General features: G+C 41.9%; 1 protein-coding gene across 18 annotated transcripts in view, besides 1 other annotated feature; it reads left to right on the forward strand.

Moving 5' to 3' along the window:
* Positions 1 to 20,766, forward strand: part of TDP1 (tyrosyl-DNA phosphodiesterase 1) — an 89,797-nt gene that overhangs the window by 42,299 nt on the left and 26,732 nt on the right. The gene's annotated exons all lie outside the window — the stretch shown is intronic.
* Positions 9,398 to 9,565: a silencer, noted in NCBI's record as "fragment chr14:90473008-90473175 (GRCh37/hg19 assembly coordinates)". NCBI's record gives its function as "represses an EF-1alpha promoter that drives an FKBP-Casp9 reporter gene in an ReSE screen in phorbol 12-myristate 13-acetate-treated (for megakaryocytic differentiation) K562 erythroleukemia cells {active_cell/tissue: K562(+PMA)}" and the evidence as "EXISTENCE:reporter gene assay evidence [ECO:0000049][PMID:32094911]".

The following is a 20,766-nucleotide window of genomic DNA, read 5'->3' on the forward strand; positions in this document are numbered from 1 at the left end:
ACTGGCCAGGTGCCTGACATGTGGAGGCTGATGAAGCCTAGGATTGAAGTGGTAACCATGAAAGCACTGCCTAGACTGCATAATGGAACATGGGAGGGCCCTCAAAGGTGATTCCTGAGTTTGGGGTATGTAGATGGGGATTGTCACTGATATCAGTATAGAAGTCAGGGAATGGAACTGGCCTACCACAGTGGGATGATGGTGAATTTGATTGAAGATTGATTTATCATGGTGGAGACTTCAGGTGGAATTGTTTGTTGGAGATGAACTTAAAAGTTTGGTGTACATATAGTATGTTTTGGAGTTTTGGTTAGTACTGATTGTTAACACCGTAATCCTTTGCGACTTCCAGAGGAGAATATAGCGGATCAACGCCTGGGCATTGAGGAACATACAAGAAATACATATCAGGTGGGCTTTTCATGCCTACCAGGTGTTCCATTGCCAAACAAATGAATTGGATTCAAGCCATCCCTCCTGGGTTGAAGAGCAACTGGTCACACATTCTCCATTACATAATTTTTCTTCTACCTAAGAAAAATGTTTTATATATATATTCTATTTTGGGTATCAGATTTAACCATTTATCCAGCACATAACTACTGAGCACCTACTATGCACCACACACTTTTCTAGGTGCTAAGAATGCAATAAACAATAAAACATCTTGACTTTTATGTTCTGGTGCTGGGAATTACACAAAAAGCAAAGAAGTGTGTTTATGTATGCAAATGGTGGTAAGTGCTATAGAGAAAAAATAGAATGATAATTTAGGTGCACAATCCTTTATTCTAAATTCTTGGTACCAGATGTAGTTCAGTATTTGGATTTTAGAAAGATAATATGGTACCTATACTGTCTGTTAATATCCCTAGTGGTATCTGGACCAACACTTCATAATACAACATTTTGGAAGCAAAGATCACAGGTAGCCCCATGTCATCTTAGTTCAACTTTTGTTGCCCAATGAGTTAAGATCAAGTTTTGCTATCAAATGAAATGAGTTAAAAGCTTTATTTCAAATTTGGTTTAGGTTATTGTTTTTAAATTTTCAGAGCTAACATGTAGTTCTTAACCAGCAGTTCCAGGCACAGTTCCAAGCACATTATATATATATATATATATATATATATATATATATATATATATATATATATGTATGTATGTATGTATGTATATGTATATGTATATATATGTATATATTAATTCATGTAATTCTTATAGCCGTTCTACAGTGTATCCATTAATCCCCTTTTCAGATGGAAGAACTGAAGCACAGAGGTTAAACAATGTGCCCAAGAATCCAGAGTCCCCACCCTCAAACACTGTCCTGTAGGGTGTGAGTGCTCGGGTTGGGGAGGGAGGCTGCTCCTTAAGGAAGAAGGTCAGGGAAGGCCTTCTGACGTGGTGACATTCATGCAGAGACCTGAAAGAAGTAGGGGAAGAGCCATGTGGATGGGTTGCTGAGGGACGCGGGGTGGGGAGTGGGAATATGCTTACTGTGTTTGATTAACAGCAAAGTGAGTGTTACTGGAGTCAATAGGATGGGAGGGTAGGTGAGTTCAGAGCAGTAGTGGGTGGCCAGACTTTGCCTTTTTACCTGCTTTCAGATATTACCGTTTCTTTGATGTCTCCGGGGTTGCCTGAGGCCTTATTAGTCGTTGGTCTATGGAAAGCAGTTCAATGAATGTTATAATTTGAATTGATTGGAATAATTGAGTGCTTTTCTAAATGCTTGTTCCATGAGATTTTCTAGAATAAGATGTGGTTTTAAATAGTCGACTTCAGCTTATACTCAAATAGTGTGTCTCTCAACAGGGCACTATTGTTATTTTGGTCAAGATAATTTTTTGTTATACAAGATTGTCCCATGCATTATAAGTTATTTAATAACCTGGCCATCACATATTAACTGCCAAGTCCTAGTGAAAGCTGAAAAAAATGCCTTATACATTTCTAAATATTCCCTAGATTTTATGCTCTGGTGGACAATATCATCATCCTTGAGAATAAATTCGTTATGAACAACTGATATATCCTTTCATTTAATATATTTACTTGCTTTAGAATAGTGAGGCAGGATTGTAGAGAGCACTGTGGATTCTAGTCCAAATGAAGTGCTCATGCCCAGCAAATCTAATGCTCTGTCAGCAAAGTAGCAGACATACTAGTTTTAAGAATTGGATTTTAGCCAAAGGTAAATACATCAAAAGCTACGTAAATTTAACTTTTGATATTTTTCTACTTTATTATTACTGATCCGTATTAATGTTTGGGTTTGGAATGAATAACCCACTCCTCTTTATTAAGTACAATAAAATTAAAACAAATTCCCCAGAAAAAAATTATAGGAGTAATAAGCACAGAGAATTATAGGCAATATGAATTTTGACTTTTAACATGATAGACTTTAAAAAATAATCTAGAGCTGCATATCCAAAAAAGTATTATGATCACCCTTTGAAAGTAGGTGCTTTGGCCAAAAACATTGCCATTGCTCAAGTTTTCTTTCCACTCTTCCAAGTTCTTTCAAAATAAGTTGACATGACACATTAACAAATAAGTATTGTTTCTTAATAGACATTCTTTGTTTCCAGCCTTGCATTAGTTTTCTGTTGCTATGTAATATATGATCACAAACTATAAGGGGGCTTAAAACAATACAAATTTACTATCTCATGGTTCCCGTGGGTCAGGAGTCTGGGCGTGGATTAGCTGAGCCCTCTGCTCAGTGTCTCACCAGGCTAAAATCAAGGCGTCAACCCAGCTGTGCTCTCATCTGAAGCTTGGGAGTCCTCTTTCAAGCTCACGGTTGCTTGTGGCTGTAAGCCTGACGTTCCTGCTTTCTTGTTGGCTGTCAGCCCGGCGTTCTCGGCTCCTAGGTGCTGCCCGTGGTGGTCTGCTGCATTCCTCATGGGATGCTTCTTGGAGACCAGCAGGAGGATCTATCTCAGGAAGGACCCAACTCAGGCCCACCCAGGATTGTTTCCCTTTTGAGTAACTTAATTAATTGATAACCAAATTATGCAAGTGAAACTCTATCATATTCACAATTCTGGCTTATCCTCAAGGAAAGGGGATATACAGGCATGTGCACCAGGGGCCATCTTTCGATTCTGCTTTCCACAGACTTCACTGATGGAGTTCCGCTCTTATTGCCCAGGCTGAAGTGCAATGTCACGATCTCGGCTCACTGCAACCTCTGCCTCCTGGGTTCAAGCAATTCTCCTGCCTCAGCCTCCTGAGTAGCTGGGATTACAGGCATGCGCCACCAGACCACGGCTAATTTTGTATTTTTAGTAGAGATGGAGTTTCTCCATGTTGGTCAGGCTGGTCTTGAACTCCCGACCTCAGATGATCCGCCCACCTCGGCCCCCCAAAGTGCTGGGATTATAGGCATGAACTACTGCACCTGGCCCACTGATATTTCTTTCCTGGTTCGATTTACCCATCTTATTCTCCAATTTTGGCTGGAATTAATTTTTTACTGTTTCCAAAATTGGGGTTTGTTTTTTGTAGTTAAGCAAAAGTACCCTTGTACACACTCAAAAGACTGAACCTCTGGCTCCAAAGCTCTTTGAGAAGTTCTGTACTTTCTTGGAGCCAAAAGAGGCAGCTGTACTGGAGTAAGGGACCAACCCCGCAGCATGACTGCTTTGGAGAACCATATTTACTTGGGTATGTAGAGTTGTTAAAAATAATAGTCCTATAAAAGATTCATAGAATCACAAAAGATCTGATTTCCTAATCTTAAAAAATCTCATCCCCTTAGGAAATGTATTTCGTATGGTTCCTATTGGGTCTACGTAATATCTTATTGCCTGTTATGTCTCTACCCATCATAAGTAGAGGATGTTGACTTCCTGATCATTTGGACTTTGTTTCATCCAGTTGACATTTCACAAATGTGAAAACTGGCTACAGAAGGTCAGGAATTGGAATCTTATAAAAATGCTAGCCTTAATATAGTTTTTAATCTTCCCTTTTATTATTTTAAATATAAATCATAGTTTTCATTTCCTCTCTTTCATTATGTGTTGTGATTGAGGTTCTGACTGAAAACATTTTTCATAGATCCTGGGTCACGTTTTAGTATATGGTTGCCATAGTTACCACGTCACCAAGAATCATAAAATCTGCACCAAAACCTTTTTTAATGAAGTTTCTGTTGAACTATCTGCATTAGAAGTTTCCTTTTACTGTAGAGAAAAAATGAGTTTATAATTATCATGCTTCATTTCCTACCAGAATACTCATTGTGATCTTTGGTAATTATTCTTTAATGTTTGTGCCTTCTGGCAGATTGGCTAATATAGTGCCTAGTTCAGTACCTGGCCTGTAGTGGCTCAGAACTGAATGAATGGTATCCCCCTTAATCTAAATGCAGTTTATTTTCAGACTGCTTCTCAGGTTTTATTTTTTTCTGTACTGTCTACAATAACTATACTTTTCTTTCAACTTCTAATTCAAATGCTCCCCTTAAAGTGAAACTTTTTCTAGCTCAGCAGGCATAATTATTTTTTCCTTTGTGTTTTCATGGCGCCTTTTGCTTGGTCCTTTTTTCATCTTCCCAGTTTATTTTATTTATTTTTTAATTTTTTGAATATCTTCTCACTGCTTCTGTAGGCATCGACCTGGTTGCTTCTTTATGGGTCTCTTTGCTTCCCTGTGTCATGAGCTTCAGGTGAGCAAGGTGCCTGATCTTACTCATCTTTTTCTGCTTAGCATCTAACACTGCATGGCACATGGTTACTGACCAAAAATTATTTGAATCAGTACCCTTTTAAAAACTTATTTTTTTCCAATAGGTAACATACACAATAAAATAAATGGTATATAAAGAAGGTATGTCTTCCCATTCCTGTTCCCCAGCCACCCTGCTCCTCATCCAGAAACCACTACTACTAGTTGCTTGGGTTTAATAGCTGTAACCCATCAACATTTTCAAACCCAGGGTCCACAGATGGTGACATTACCCAATCATCCAGCATATTATGGAGGAAATAACCTGAGATAGAGTCCAAAGATCCAAGTCCTAATTTGAGATTGCCACTTACTAGCCTTGCCACTTAAATTTTGGAAAACGCATTTATACCCTTGGCTTTTATCTCATTTATGGAATCCCAAGGATGATGATAGAAAACATGCGGTTGTTTCCTATTAAACAGTATGCTGTGTTTAATATTAGTTCACTGCTTGATTTTTCATGTCTCTCATATTCATTAGGCCTCTTAGGATTTAAGAAAGCACCTTATAAAGCCTTTATCTGTTTTGCCTGTGTAACACATCCATATAAAATATATGACCTTAAGACGTATTCAAGCTAGGTGCAGTGGCTCACACATGTAATCCCAGCACTTTGGGAGGCCAAGGCGATCGGATCACTTGCGCTCAGGAATTCAAGATCAGCCTGAGCAACATGGTAAAACCCCATCTCTACAAAAAAAAAAAAAAAGGCGGGGGATGCTTGGTGGTGTGCGCCTGCAGTCCCAGCTACTCAGGAGGCTGAGGTGGGAAGATAACTTGAGCCTGGGAGATTGAGGCTGCAGTGAGTCATGATGGCACCACTGTACTCCAGCCTAGGCAACAGAGTGAGACCCTGTCTCAAAAAAAGAAGATCTTTTCATAGATATATAGCCTTTTCTAAACTAAATATGTGGTTATTTTTATTTTATTTATTTATTTTTTTTGAGATGGAGTCTCGCCATTCACCCAGGCTGGAGTGCAGTGGCATGATTTCGGCTCACTGCAACCTCCGCCTCCCGGGTTCAAGCGATTCTTCTGCCTCAGCCTCCCGAGTAGCTGGGACTACAGGCGCATGCCACCATGCCCAGCTAATTTTTGTATTTTTAGTAGAGATGAGGTTTCACGGTATTGGCCAGGCTGGTCTCGAACTCCTGACCTTGTGATCCGCCCGCCTTGGCCTCCCAAAGTGCTGGGATTACAGGCGTGAGCCACTGCGCCCAGCCATATGTGGTTAATTTTTAAATTGGTCACAATTACTCTATTTAATCAGGACAAGTACCGTCAGCCAGATTTATACATTCAGAGAAACTCAAAATTAACAGTTCACTTGAACTTATTAGGATGTTATATTAGCTGGCGATTTCCTCTTTTGATTGGTTACTTTTATGGAGAGATATTTATGGTTTTAATAAGATTTCCCTCCCATCTGTTTTGATCCTACCGTAAAATCATCCCATGTTTGATGGGCAGCCGGTTGTTAGGGAAATTATTGGGACATGATGACAAATGTGGTATTTAAATTTTACCACAGGACTAAGCAGGAGGAAGATGAGGTTTAAGAGAAGCCTTGGCTAAGAGGATAGTGCCTAGGTGTAATTGGCAAACCCAATGAGAACAGTTACGAAAGTTGTGTATTGTGGGTGGTCAGAAGCAAGGTGGGTACCTAACACATGCTGGATCACTGTTAGAGTTGCCTAGCAACTGACAGGCAATGCGGATAGTCAGGGATGAGCAGAAATGTTGGTGCTGCCACTTCGGGAGAAAACGAGACAAGTGCTTGACTGCAAAATCACTGGCTTTTTGAGGAAACATAAAAGACATTCTCTCTCCTCTGCTTTTCAATATTACTATGCAGTACTCCTTCTCTAATGTCTGTTGCTTTGATTCTGAAACAAATCATCTCTTTTTGTTCTCCTTTGTCTGAGTATTTTGGTGAAAATAAAATTGGATTACACAAGAAAATACTTACAGATGTCATTGGGTAGACTTGCTTGCCTGGCCCTGTGGCTCTAAGATATTGGGATTAGCTGGTATGCTTCATGTGCTTTGTTACAAATGATGGTTATCAGTACTAACGCCTACAAGTGACTTCCTTTATACGATAGAGATGACTCAAGGTCATATTACTACCCTCACCTGCCTACATCTGGTACAAGCAGAGTGAAGACAGAGCATACCCCTTTCTGTACTCATATGAGAAAGTCTTGTGAGCATCATCACTGATGGAAAAAAGCTTGAGACCCCTGACTTAGTGCCTCTAGACCCTTTGTACACTGGCATTGCTAGTCACTAAGTGCACATCTGGCTTGAGATGAGGAGGTGCTACCTGGAATTTCCCACCAGGGACTGGCCTCCAAAGAAAGCCTCTCACAAGTAATATAGCAAATACTTGTATGGTGCTTACTATATGCTGGCCAAGCGCTTTTTTATACTAGCTCATTTAATCACCCAAATTGGGAGCTAGGTACTGCTACTATCCCCATTTTAGAGATATGAAAACTAAAGCATAGAGAGCTTAAATAGCATGCCCCCAAGTGACCCAGCTGGGAAGCAGGAAGAGCTAGGATTTAGACCCAGATAGTCTGATGTGACTGTTTCTTGTTTATGTGCCAGGTGCTATTCTAAGTTTTAGTTATAGATGATGGACAAGACAGGTGTGGTCCCTGCTCTCATGAACTTGCCTTCTAATTGATGTAGACCTATCGTCTCTCTGCTTTGGGATTGGCACAGAAACATTATTGCAGGAGAGTCAGCAGGATGGTGACAGGCTGAGAGAAGGAAGGGAGGAAGTAGGTTGCCTATAAGGTTGTGAGCACAGCTCTCTAGGAGAGTTAAACATGCTGTTAGGCTTTCTGGAGCTGATCAACAGCCCCAAGGAGGCTGCCCCTCCAGCTATCTCAGGTCTTAGTGGAAACCTTCCTTGTGCTATGCAGCACCAATGCTTCAGGCTCCAAAAAGACAAGAATCATTCCCAGGACACTGTGTACTATGGGACTCAGGAAAACAAAGGTAAGGCACCAGCCTTCACACACTTTATAAAGGAATCATCTTCAGAGAGCTTTTCAAGGTCTCCCAGGACCTTGACCAAATGCTGACCATATATTGGACTATTCAGTCTTACTGGCCATGTGAACAGTCCATCTGCTCTGCAGCCACACTCTTAAGACATTTGTTTCTGCTTTCTAGGCCCATTTCCCCATCTGTAAAACCAGGGGTTGGGCTAAATCAGTGGATTTTATGCTGTGTTCCTTGGAGCCCTGTGGGCTCTGGAAACCCCTTTCAGAAGCCACCACAACAGTGGGCAGAGAGAGATGAGTGCAAGTAATTCACCCAGAGATACTCGCCCTTGTTTGCTTAAAATGTTTCCTTTGAACAAAGGGTTCTCGAGGTTTAAAAAAAAAATTTTTTTAAATCATTATAATAGATCATCTCCCAAGGCCCATTCTAACAACCATATCATAGTTCTGTTAAAAGCATTAACCATTTCCAAACCTCACCTTTGTGAGGTGCATTAAAATTTACTAAGCACTTGCACCTAGATTATTTCATTCATTCCTCATTATAGCCCAGTGTAATGAGCAGATGGTGTTAAGTCCTTATTATAAGTGAAGAAATTGGTGACCTAAGTACTAACCACAAGGTAACAGAGCTAGCCAAAAGCAAACTCATATCTTACAAGTCTGTTGCTCTTTTCAAGTCCTTGTATTTATTGCCTTTCCACTATAGGAGATAGACTAAAACATTGGAACATTTCATTAGAAAATAAAACAGTAAGCAGTTTTTGGTTGTCACATGGGTTACTATTAAATATATACTCAAATTATTTGGTATAGTATTCTAAATACCAATTTTGACCTGAAATTTGAAAAGCACTTTTTTTATCCTTGGCAGTAATTTTTGTCATTTTGGATTATTGATGTGATGACTTCTAAAGTCCTTGTAATTCCATCTGTGGGATCAAGAATAGATGGATCCTTTTAAAGACTAGGTCAACAGGTAGGCTGGACTATGCCATCGGGCACCAAGGCCTCCATTTAGAGTCCAACATGGCTATGAAAGACTGCTTGTCGGGGGAGGGTCATGATAGGCCTGTGACTGAGGAACAAAGTGAGGTTGCAAGTAGATTTGTCCAAATCTATTTGGTGGTTTGTCAGACTTTACACTTGCAAAACCCCACACCCAAGTGTCTAATCTTCTTTAGTGTTTTGCTCTTATCTGCTTGAAAACATGCATCATAATCATTTTCATTTTTCTTTTCTTGCTGGCTTTTCTTTGTTAATACACTGTATCTGTAAGACCTGATAGCCACCCTGGAAACACAGCTGATGTGTTGCATCCTCTTAGTAGTTAATCTCCCAAGATTCTTCAACATCTGCAGAATTTTGAGATAGGATTTCACGCTGTCACTCAGGCTGGAGTGCAATGGCATGCTCACTGCTCACTGCATCCTTGACCTCCCAGGCTCAGGTGATCCTCCCTTCTCAGCCTCCCCAAGTAGCTGGGACTACAGGTGTATGCCACCATGCCTAGCTAATTTTTTTTGAGACAGAGTCTTGCTCTGTCACCCAGGCTGGAGTCCAATGGCATGATCTCAGCTCACTGCAACCTCCACCTCCTGGGTTCAAGCGATTCTCCTGCCTCAGCCTCCCAAGTAGCTGGGATTACAGGTGCCCGCGACCAAGCCTGGCTAATTTTTTTGTGTTTTTAGTAGAGATGGGGTTTCACCATGTTGGCCAGGCTGGTCTCGAACTCCTGACCTCAGGTGATCCGCCCACCTCAGCCTCCCAAAGTGCTGGGATTACAGGCGTGAGGCACCATGCCCAGCCCATGCCTGGCTAATTTTTGTATTTTTCATAGAGATGGAGTTTTGAAATGTTGCTCAGGTTGCTGTTGAACTCCTGAGCTCAAAACTCTCTATCTGCCTTGGCCTCCCAAAGTGCTGGGATTACAGGTGTGAGCCACCATGACCAGCTCCTCTTCCTCTTTATTATTCACCAATATTTTCATTCCACCCTTTTTTGGCTTTCAAAATTAGTCATTGTCATTATTACTTTACAGTCACTTCTTGTTTACAGTTACCCATAAGTTTACTCATTTCTTTGTTCTTTTTCTTCCCGGTAGCCCTGTCCTTTCAAACAAATTCAGTTTTATTCCTGAACTGTATCTTTTATAGTTATTTCACTGATGCCTTCTTACTGGCAATAAGCTCTTATTTGTTTTTCTAAAACTCCCTTTATTTTTGCCCTCATTTTTGAGTGATAATTTAACTGAATTTAAAATTCTTTGGCCGGACGCGGTGGCTCACACTGCCCATACCTGTAATCCCAGCACTTTAGGAAGCCAAGGCCGGTGGATCAGTTGAGACCAGGAGTTCAAGACCAGCCTGGGCAACATGGTGAAACCCTGTCTCTACTAAAAATATAAAAATTAGCTGGGCATGGTAGCTCACACCTGTAATCCCAGCTACTCAGGTGGCTGAGGCATGAAAATCGCTTGAACCCAGGAAGCAGAGGTGGCAGTGAGCTGAGATCGCTCCACTGCACTCCAACCTGGGTAATAGAGCAAGACCCTGTCTCGGGGCGGGAAACTGGGACAAAGTAACTGCCAACTAAGATTTTTTTTTTTCCTTTTAAGGCAGAGTTTTGCTCTGCCACCCAGGCTTGGTTCACTGTAACCTCCACTTCTCGGGCTCAAGTCATCCTTCCACCTCAGCCTCCCAAGTAGCTGGGACAGGTATGCACCACCACACCTGGCTAATTTTTTATTTTTTTTTAGAGATGGGGTCTCACTATGTTGCTGTTCTCACACTCCTGAGTTCAAGCAATCCTTCCACCTCAGCCTCCCAAAATACTGGGATTACAGGCGTGAACCACCATGCCTGGTCTTCCTCTAAGTTCCTTAAATATTTTTTTCCATTGGCTTTTGAGCTCAGTTGTTGGTATTGAGAAGTTGCCATCTAATTGTTGCTCCTTGTGGAAAAGCTGTCTCATCTCTGGCTGTTTTTAAGATTTTCTTTATATTTGGTATTCTTCAGTTTAGCTACGATGGATAAATAGGTATGGATTTATTTTTATTTAGTCTCAGCAGGGTTTGTTGTATTTCTTCACTCTAAAGAACTGATTTTTCAACAGTTCGGTAAAATTATTGGCTATTATCATTAAGCATATTGACTCACCCTCTCTCACTTCCTTCTTGCAACTCTTATGAGATGCTTGTCGGACCCTCTCATTCTATCTTCAGTTTCTTACTTTGCACCTCTTTGCCTCTGAGTTGCATTCTACCTAATTTCTTTAGATCTTTCTTCTGTTTCATTAGTTTTGTTTTCAGCTGTGACTCATGGTATTTAATTCATCAGTAGAGTTTTTAATTCTAGTGACTGTATTTTACTTTTGGACCTTCTTGGATACCATATGTTTCATGGTTTAGAGTTCAGCCCAGAGTCACGCTGCCTGAGTTCGAATTCTTACTCTACCACCTAGTACCTGTTGAAATCTTGGGCAAATGACTTCCATTTTCTCATCTGTTAAGTAAGTATAGTAATAGAATAGGTATCTAATAGTTAAGAATGAAAATAAATAGAATATATAAAGGTATTAAAACAACATTTGGCAGTTAATAGATGCTGCATATTAGCTGCCATTATTAGCAAATTTGTTTTATGCTTGTTTCATTATTTCTTTTGTATGTTGTTTACTTTGAAATCTTTTGTTTATTTTTGTTTTGTTTTTTGAGATGGTGTCTTGCTGTGTCACCCAGGCTGGAGTGCAGTGGCACGTGATCATAGCTCCTGGGCTCAAGCAATTCTCCCATCTCAGTCTCACAAGTAGCTGGGACTGCAGGTGCACACCACCCTGCCTGGCTAATTTTTGCATTTTATTTTGATATGGGATCTTGCTTTGTTGCCCTGGCTGGTCTCAAGCCTCTGGCCTCAAGTGATCCTTCTGTCTTGGCTTCCCAAAGCACTAGGATTACAGGCATGAGCTACCATGTCCAGCTCAAATCATTTTAAGTATACTTATTTTTAACTCGACATCTAATTGGTCAATCATCTGAAGTTCCTGGAGGTCTAATTATATTTTCTGTTGTCTTGCTCATGATGGATTTGGATTATTTTCCCTTTTATTTTAAAATTTGTGTCTTCACTGAAGCTTTAACTATAAAAATTATCTGTGACTTGAGTGGACAAACCTCTGTACCTCCAGATAGATTTTGTTGCTGCTGGTCTCTTCAAGAACCTGGAACCAATGTCTATGTTAATATCTTGACATAAGGTAGGGGCAGATACCTAGCATTCCAATATTTGAGAGATCAGGTGGAAGAAAAGGAGTGACCAGAGAGGTTGAAAGCAGAAAGGAAGCCACAAAGTGTAGCAGAAAACAAGGAAGAATAATTACAGTAATGTTTCAATTATGCCAGGGGATAAGAGGCACTGATGGTAGAAGTCTCATGCTACAGAGAGATTAAGATGAGAGTAAAGAAGTTTCCATTGGATATGGCAGTGTGGAGTGACTTTAAGTGGTTTCAGGATAGTGGTTTGGGGAAAAGTCTTATTGAAAGCACATAATAGATTGAAGGGTAAGTGTGGTTCTCTGCAGTATTGTACTGGAAGTTATAGCCAGTGCAATAAGGCAAAAAAATAAAAGACATAAAGATTATTAAGGAAGAAGTAAAACTATATTTGCAGAAGATATGACTGTGCATTTGTAAAACCCCAAGGAGTTTAAACATGATTTCAAGATTCACTATAAAAGCAGGGTAAGACTGTGATATCAGCATAACAATAGATAAATTGATGAACAGAACAGAACAGAGTCCAGAAATAGACACATATATCATCAACCATTTTTGACAAAGGCACCAATGTAATTCAGTGGATGAAGGATGTTCTTTTCAATAAATATTGCTAAAGCAATTGGATATTGATGCAGGAAAAAAAAACCTTAGCCTATCTTAGGACATAGACAAAATTAACTTCAGATGTATCATATGCCTAAGTGAGAACGCTAAAGCTATAAAGCCTAGAACAAGAATACCCTACAACCTTGAAGTAGGCAAGATTTAGTACATAAGACATAAAATGCACTTGCAAGAAAAGATTTACACATGTTTGGACTTCAGAATATTTTAAAACTTTATTTTGTCAAAAGACACCATTTTGGGATGGATGAAAAGGTTTTTCTGAGTAAGACCTCACACCCAGAAGCTATAAAGTCAAAAACTGCACCTTGGATAACTTCCTTCCTCGCCCCAAAATGGAAGAAAACAAGCAAAAATTACCTTCTGAACTATAAAGGTTTTCATAAACAAAGTTATAACTGGGCAAACATTTGCAACATAATTGTAATATATGAAAAGCACTGTGTGGTGGGCAGAATAATGGCCACCCAAAGATGTCTTTGTGTAAAATCCTCAGGGGCTGTGACTGTTAAATTATCTGGCAAAGGGGAATTAAGGCAGCAGGTGGGATTAGGTTTGCTAATCAACTGACCTTAAAATGGGGTGGTTATTGGGGGAGGGCCCAGTATAATCACAAAGATACTTAAAAGTGGAAGAGGGACAAGTCGAGAGAGAGAGCACTGCATGAAAAAGGACTCAGCTAACCTCACTGGCCTTGAAGATGAAGGAACAGAGACATTCCAAGGGGAATGCAGACAGCCTCTAGAACTAGAAAAGGCAAGGAAATGAATTCTTCCTGAGGGCCTCTGGAAGAAACACAATCCTCCTAAAACTTTAATTTTACTTTACTTTGTGTAAGATAATGAATCTTTGTTTTAAGTCATTAAATTTGTGGCATTTTGTTAGAGCAGCAGCAGGAAACTAATGGGCACTGCATATCAAGAGAAAAAAACAGTATCATAGTTTAAAAATTGATACTTCACGGAGGTAAACATCAGCGTTCAGTAGTGATATGGGCTGGCTGTATCCCCACCCAAATCTCATCTTGAATTGTAGCACCCATAATCCCCACATGTTGTGGAAGGGACCTGGTGGGAGGTAATTCAGTCATGGGGGTGGGTTTTCCTGTGCTGTTCTCATGATAGTGAATATGTCTCATGAGATCTGATGGTTTTTATAAAGAGCAGTTTCTCTGCACACACACTCCTGCCTGCCACCATGTAAGGCATGCCTTTGCTCCTCCTTCGCCTGCTGCCATGATTGTGAAGCATCCCCAGCCATGTGGAACTGTGAGTCCATTAAACCTCCTTTCCTTTATAAATTACCCAGTCTTGGGTATGTCTTTATTAGCAGTGAGAGAACAGACTGTTATAGTAAATTGCTACCGGTAGAGTGGGGTGCTGTTATAAGGATACCCAAAAATGTGGAAGTGACTTTGGAACTGGGTAACAGGCAGAGGTTGGAACAGTTTGGAGGGCTCAGAAGAAGACAGGAAAATGTGGGAAAGTGGGAACTTCCTAGAGACTTGGAGGGCTCAGAAGACAGGAAGATGTGGGAAAGTTTGGAACTTCCTAAAAACTTGTTGAATGGCTTTGACCAAAATGCTGACAGTGATATGGACAATGAAGTCTAGGCTAACATGTTCCCAGATGGAGATGAGAAACTTGTTGGGAACTGGGGCATAGGGGACTCTTCCTATGTTTTATCAAGGAGACTGGTGGCATTTTGCCCCTGCCATAGAGATCTGTGGAACTTTAAACTTGAGAAAGATAATATAGGGTATCTGGCAGAAGAAATTTCTAAGCAGCAAAGTGTTTGAGGTGATTTTGGGTGCTCTTAAAGGCATACAGTTTTATTCATTCATAGAGATACTCTTTGGAGTTGGAACTTATGTTTAAAAGGGAAGCAGAGCATAAAAGTTGGAAAATCTGCAACCTGACAATGCAATAGAAAAGAAAAACCCATGTTCTGAGGACTACAGAAATTTGCATAAGTAATGAGGAGCCAAATGTTAATTGCCAAGACAATGGGGAAAATGTCTGCAGGGCATGTCAGAAGTCTTCACGGCAGACCCTCCCATCACATGCCTGGAAGCCTAGGAGGAAATGGCTTTGTGGGCCAGGCCCAGGCCCTTGCCGCTTTGTGCAGTCTTGGGACTTGGTGCCCTGCATCCCAGGCATGGCTAAAAGGTGCCAACATACAGCTCAGGCCATTGCTTCAGAGGGTGCAAGCCCCAAGCCTTGGTGGCTTACACATTGTGTTGGGCCTGTAGGTACACATAAGTTAAGAATTGAGGTTTGGGAACCTCTACTTACATTTCAAAGGATGTATGGAAAAGCCTGGATGTCCAGGCAAAAGTTTGCTGCAGGGATGGAGCCTCATGTCATTAAGTGTTTATGGCTTTTCCAGGCACATGGTGCAAGCTGTCAGTGAATCTACAATTCTGCAATCTTGAAGGATTCTGGCCCTTCTCACAGCTCCAGTAGGCAGTGCCCTAGTGGGGACTCTGTGTGGGGCCTCCGACCCCATAATTCCCTTCCACACTGCCATAGCAAAGGTTCTCCATGAGGGCCTCGTCCCTGGAGCAAACTTTTGCCTGGACATCCAGGCGTTTCTATACATCCTCTGAAATGTAGGTAGAGTTTCCCAAACCTCAATTCTTAACTTCTGTGTACCCGCAAGGCCATTGCTTCAGAGGTGTGCTGCAGGGGTGGAGCCCTCATGGAGAACCTCTGCTAGGGCAGTGCAGAAGAGAAATATGGGGTAGGAACCCCCACACAGAGTCCCTACTGGGGCACTGCCTAGTGGAGCTGTGAGAAGAGGGCCACCATCCTCCAGACCCCAAAATGGTAGATCCACTGACAGCTTGCATGGTGGGCCTGGAAAAGCTGCAGACACTCAATGCCGGCCCCTGAAAGCAGCCAAGAAGGGGGGCTATGCCCTGCAAAGCTACAGGGGCAGAGCCTGTCCAAGGTCATGGAAGCCTACCTCTTGGATCAGCGTGACCTGGATGTGAGACATGGAGTCAAAGGAGATCATTTCGGAGCTTTAAGATTTGACTGCCCTGACAGATTTTGGACTTGCATGGGGCCTGTAGCCCCTTTGTTTTGGCCAATTTCTCCCATTTAGAATGGCTGTGTTTACCCAATGCCTGTACCCACATTGTATTTAGGAAGTAACTGACTTGCTGTTGATTTTACAGGGTCATAGGCAGAAGGGACGTACTGTGTCTCAGATGAGTCTTCAGACTGTAGACTTTTGAATTAATGCCGAAATGAGTTAAGACTTTGGGAGGCTGTTGGGAAGGCATGATTGGTTTTGAAATGTGAGAACATGAGATTTGGGAGGGGTAAGGGGTAGAATGATATGGTTTGGCTCTGTGTCCTCACCCAAATGTCATCTTGAACTGTAGCTTCCATAATTCCCATGTGTCATGGGAGGGACCTGGTGGGAGGTAATTGAATCATGGGAGTGGGTTTTCCCAAGCAGTTCTCTTGATAGTGAATAGGTCTCACGAGATCTGATGGTTTTATAAAGGGCAGTTCCCTGCACACGCTCTCTTGCCTGCCGCCATGTAAGATGTGCCTTTGCTCCTCCTTTGCCTTCTGCTATGATCGTGAGGCCTCCCCCGCCATGTGCAACTGTGAGCCCATTAAACATCCTTTCCTTTGTAAATTATCCAGCCTCGGGTATGTCTTTATTAGCAGCATGAGAACAGACTGATACAAGTAGATACAGTTAAAAATACTTGATATGGTTTGGCTGTGTCCCCACCCAAATCTCATTTTGAATTGTAGCTCCCATAATTCCCACATGTTGTGAGGGAGACACAGTGGGAGATAATTAAATCTTAGGGGCAGTTTCCCCCATACTGTTCTCATGGTACTGAATAAGTCTCAGGAGATCTGATGGTTTTATAAGAGGAAACCTCTTTTACTTGGCTCTCATTTTCTCTGTTTGCCTGCTACCACCTTTGTAAGAAGTGACTTGTTCCCCCTTGCCTTCTGCCATGATTGTGAAGCCTCCCTAGCCATGTGGAACTGTGAGTCCATTAAACCTCTTTCCTTTATAAATTACCCAGTCTTGGGTATGTCTTTATTAGCTGCGTGAGAACAGACTAATACAATACTTAATATCATTAGTAATCAGAGAAGTCAAATATAAATTAGATATATTTTGCCTATTAGACTTGTAAAACTTTTAATAGATACTATCCACCCAGTGTTCTCAAGAGTCTAAGAAAAGAATACTTCTATACAATGTTGCTAATAATCTAAATAGGATAGATGCTTGAGACAGAAATTGGACAGAATTTATCAAAATTAAAGATTATGTTCCTGTGTATACCTGTATACAACTTGAATCTTTTACAGTGAGAATATCTTTACATATCACTTGTGAAATGTCTTTTCAATCCATAAAACAGAGCCTAAGAGTAATACAAGAAAACCTACAGAGAATGCAAAATGGAAGGAAACCTACGATGTCTGTGTTTGTGGCACACACACTGCCGTGGAGTTTTAGGAAAGGGCAACAGCAGCATTGGCTGGAGTCATGGTTTCCCCTCCACGTCAGTACAGCTGCTTGGTCTCCATCTTCTCCAGCACACAGTTAACATTCTGTTTTATTGCAGCTGTCTGTGAACATGTCTGTCCCCTCATCCCTGGTCCTCTAGAAGTGCAGTGGCCAAAGCCTCAGTCTGTACATTGTCTCATTGTCTCTGTACTCTTTGTGCTGCTGCTGCTGCCTAGACTGTTAAGTAATTAATGATGAAAAAGAAATATTTTATCAGTGGACGTATGTTCCCATAACAGCAGTCACCCTTGGGGACTTGTACATCTTCTTAAAAAAAACTTAAAAGTGAATCTAATCAGCCACTCTAATTGGTGTTCAAGCAGGGATTGGTGATGGCAACTGTTCCCATTACCAAAGTTCAGGTTTTGAAAGATGCTTGGAGCAGGGCTTGGCCCAGAGGTCATCTTCATAGCTCCCCACTTCCTTTCTTAGGCAGTTGTTTCCCCCATGTGTTACCATGAACATCCAACAAGTACTCCACTCCCCAGTGGTAAACCTCCAGTGAAACTCAGAGATTTTACCTTAGGATGAGACTACATCACTGGAGGGGAACACTCTAGTTCATGTGAGCATGGGTGTCTCTCATCATTGTAGACTCTAGCCTGGAAAGGGATTTTTGGTCTCATAGGCTGACAGCCCTCATTCTGGATATAGGAACCTAAAGCCCAGGGAGGAGAGGAGTGGCTTAAGGAGTCACAGCTAATGGGGAAGCTGAGACATAAACTGCTCCTGATTCAGGGTCCAGGGCTCTTTTCTCAGCATGTGCCTGCCTGCCTTCTCCATGTGCCTAACATGCCATTCCTGTGCTCTCCTGAGATTTCCTGTACGAATTTTTTGTCATACGTTTTCAAGTTTACTCTTAAAAATTTAATCTTTGGGACAGAATGTTCATATTGGGGACTCAGGTCAAACCTGTAATAAGCAGTCACACCTCACAAGCTGTGGCAGGGTATTCTGCCACCATTTGCACTCCTTGTAGGCAAGGGGACAATAAACTGCCAAATGAGCAACATATCATTAGTCAGCTTAGCTGTGGTGGCTTGGTGCCTCATTCAGCTCAGACTGCTATACAGAGCAGCTTATAAATATATTTCATAGTTCTAGAGAATGGAAGTTCAATGTCAGTGTACCAGCATGGCCAGGTACCGGTGAGGGCCTTCTTCTGGGCTGCAGCCTGCTGACTTCTCACTGTGTCCTCACAAGGTAGAAAGAGGGCAAGGCAGCTTTCTGGGGTCTCCTTTATAAGGGCACCAGTCTCATTCATGAGGACCCCCTCCTCATGACATAATTAACCCAAAGCCCCTGCTCCTGACACCATCACATTGGGGGTTAGGATTTCAACATATGAATTCTGGAGGACACAAACACATTGGGGGTTAGGATTTCAACATATGAATTCTGGGGGACACAAACATTCAGTTCCTAACACTCGGTAATGGTCAACTTGTCTACCCTCAACCACAATTTCCAGAATTCCCTTTCTTGTATGTTTCCAATTAGGTGGGCCCCAAGGGAGATTCTTATATTTGGAGAGCAAATGTGAGACAGCAGCCTTTTTTTTTCTTTTTTTTTTTTGAGATGGAGTTGTTTCGCTCTTATTGCCCAGGCTGGAGTGCAATGGCTCCATCTTGCCCCACAGCAACCTCCTCCTCCTGGGTTCAAGCGATTCTCCTGCCTCAGCCTCCTGAGTAGTTGGGATTACAGGTATGTGCCACCACGCCCGGCTAATTTTGTATTTTTAGTGGAGACAGGGTTTCTCCATGTTGGTAAGACTGGTCTCGAACTCTCGACCTCAGATGATCCGCTGCCTTGGCCTCCCAAAGTGCTGGGATTACAGGTGTGAGCCACTGTGCCCAGCCGAGACAGCAGCCATTTTTATAACTCATGCGTTGTCACTGTGTCCAGCAGAAGCTGGACCTCACACCCTCCCAAGTCCTCCTTCAGCTTTTCTAACTCCTGGCCCTCACCAGGTATGTATTTTTTCTGTGATGAAGGCCCTGTCTTCTGCAAGACATCCACACCTCCAGTGCCAGAGGCACAAAAACCACATGGGTTTCCATCCTCACAGTCTTCAGTCCCTGCCTGTGGCTCCAGCTAGTTATTCTCCACTTTATGCCTGTCCTCCTCTGGCTTCTGCCTGCTCTGTAGACTTCTAGCTCCAGCATCAGGACAAAGATAACACCCTTATAAAGACTTTAACCAGCTCCTACAATTACATGATAATAAATTCCTTTAAGAAATACACACACACACACATATGTATACAATTTCCTAGTTATGTTTCTGTGATTGAACCCTGACTGATACACCCCCAGAAGCTACTGTCACTCAACATGACTTTAGTAAGGGTTTGGGTAGTGTTTCTGGTAGATGGTAGACCATGGGACCTCCAGAGTTCTACCCTAATGATCTAAAGTAAATTAAATACCCCACCCCTCTTTAGTGATGAAGCATCACTCGGTATCCAGCAGCAACAACACAAACCACAGCACTTGGGAGAGAAAGCAGCCCAGTCCAGTAGAAAAAAGAACAATGGAAGAGTGAGGGCAGGGGGAACAAAATGGTGAAAACGAGTTTTCAACAGAAGCCAGGACAGGCAGTGGACAATGGATTCCATGTGGAGAACAGAAGCTAGAACTCTTTGGAGTTGTGGGAGCAAGAGACCCCTGTGGTGTCGCTGTGCCTCATGAAAGACATAGTGCTTTTGCTGTACATGACGGGCGTGTGTGTGCACGCACACACACACACTCCCCCCACCCTCCCTGCCTCCCAACCCCACAAGAGTTTGGAAATACCCCATCTTCCTGGCTGCCCCAGGTGCCCGTGATTCAAAGTATTAACCCAGAATGTAAAAAGTTATTAAAGATGATATCTCAGGGAATGTTGATTTATCACCTAGACAACCTGCAAGTGACTTTCAGGCTCTCAGTGTTCACAGTAGAGTTTCTAAGGTTCCAAATGCTTAGAAATCTGTTACAAGCCAAATAAAAGGAGGGATTGGAGGAAGCCATCTGAAAGGCTGTCCTTGTGATCTCTGTTGAACATTACTTTGGAATAAGCCCTCAAATCTTGGAATGCTAAGAAAACACAACTCATGGGGAAAGAATGAGAACAGCCTTCCAGAAGATACCTCCCGTCTTTGTTGTCATGATACTGATAGTCAAGAGTTGGCCAGAAAGCGATCATCTAAAAACTGAGAAAAACACCTCAGACCCACTGGTTGGTTTTGCCGTTAGACTTTCCTCTTCGCCCAGGAGATGACCTGTTTTACTAACAGGTGAAAGACCTAAAAGCAAGATGTCATCTTGGACTTTTAAAAAAAGTTTTTTTCCTAGAATCATAATACCAGTTTATCATAAACATCAGCTTCCTCTTCACTTTATGTCTCAACGACGTTATAGACAGTGATGTTCATGATTGTGGTCCTTGTGCAAAGGTTTCCTGTCCTCAATATGGTTCATTTAGGAAGCCAGGAAAGCTTGTAAATAATGCTCTATTTGCTTAAGTCAGCCTAATCGCTTCAAGAGTTTTCCTTAGCTCTGATTTCCA

The sequence above is a fragment of the Homo sapiens genome, chromosome 14 (genome assembly GCF_000001405.40).
Source record: "Homo sapiens chromosome 14, GRCh38.p14 Primary Assembly".
Lineage (NCBI taxonomy): Eukaryota > Metazoa > Chordata > Mammalia > Primates > Hominidae > Homo > Homo sapiens.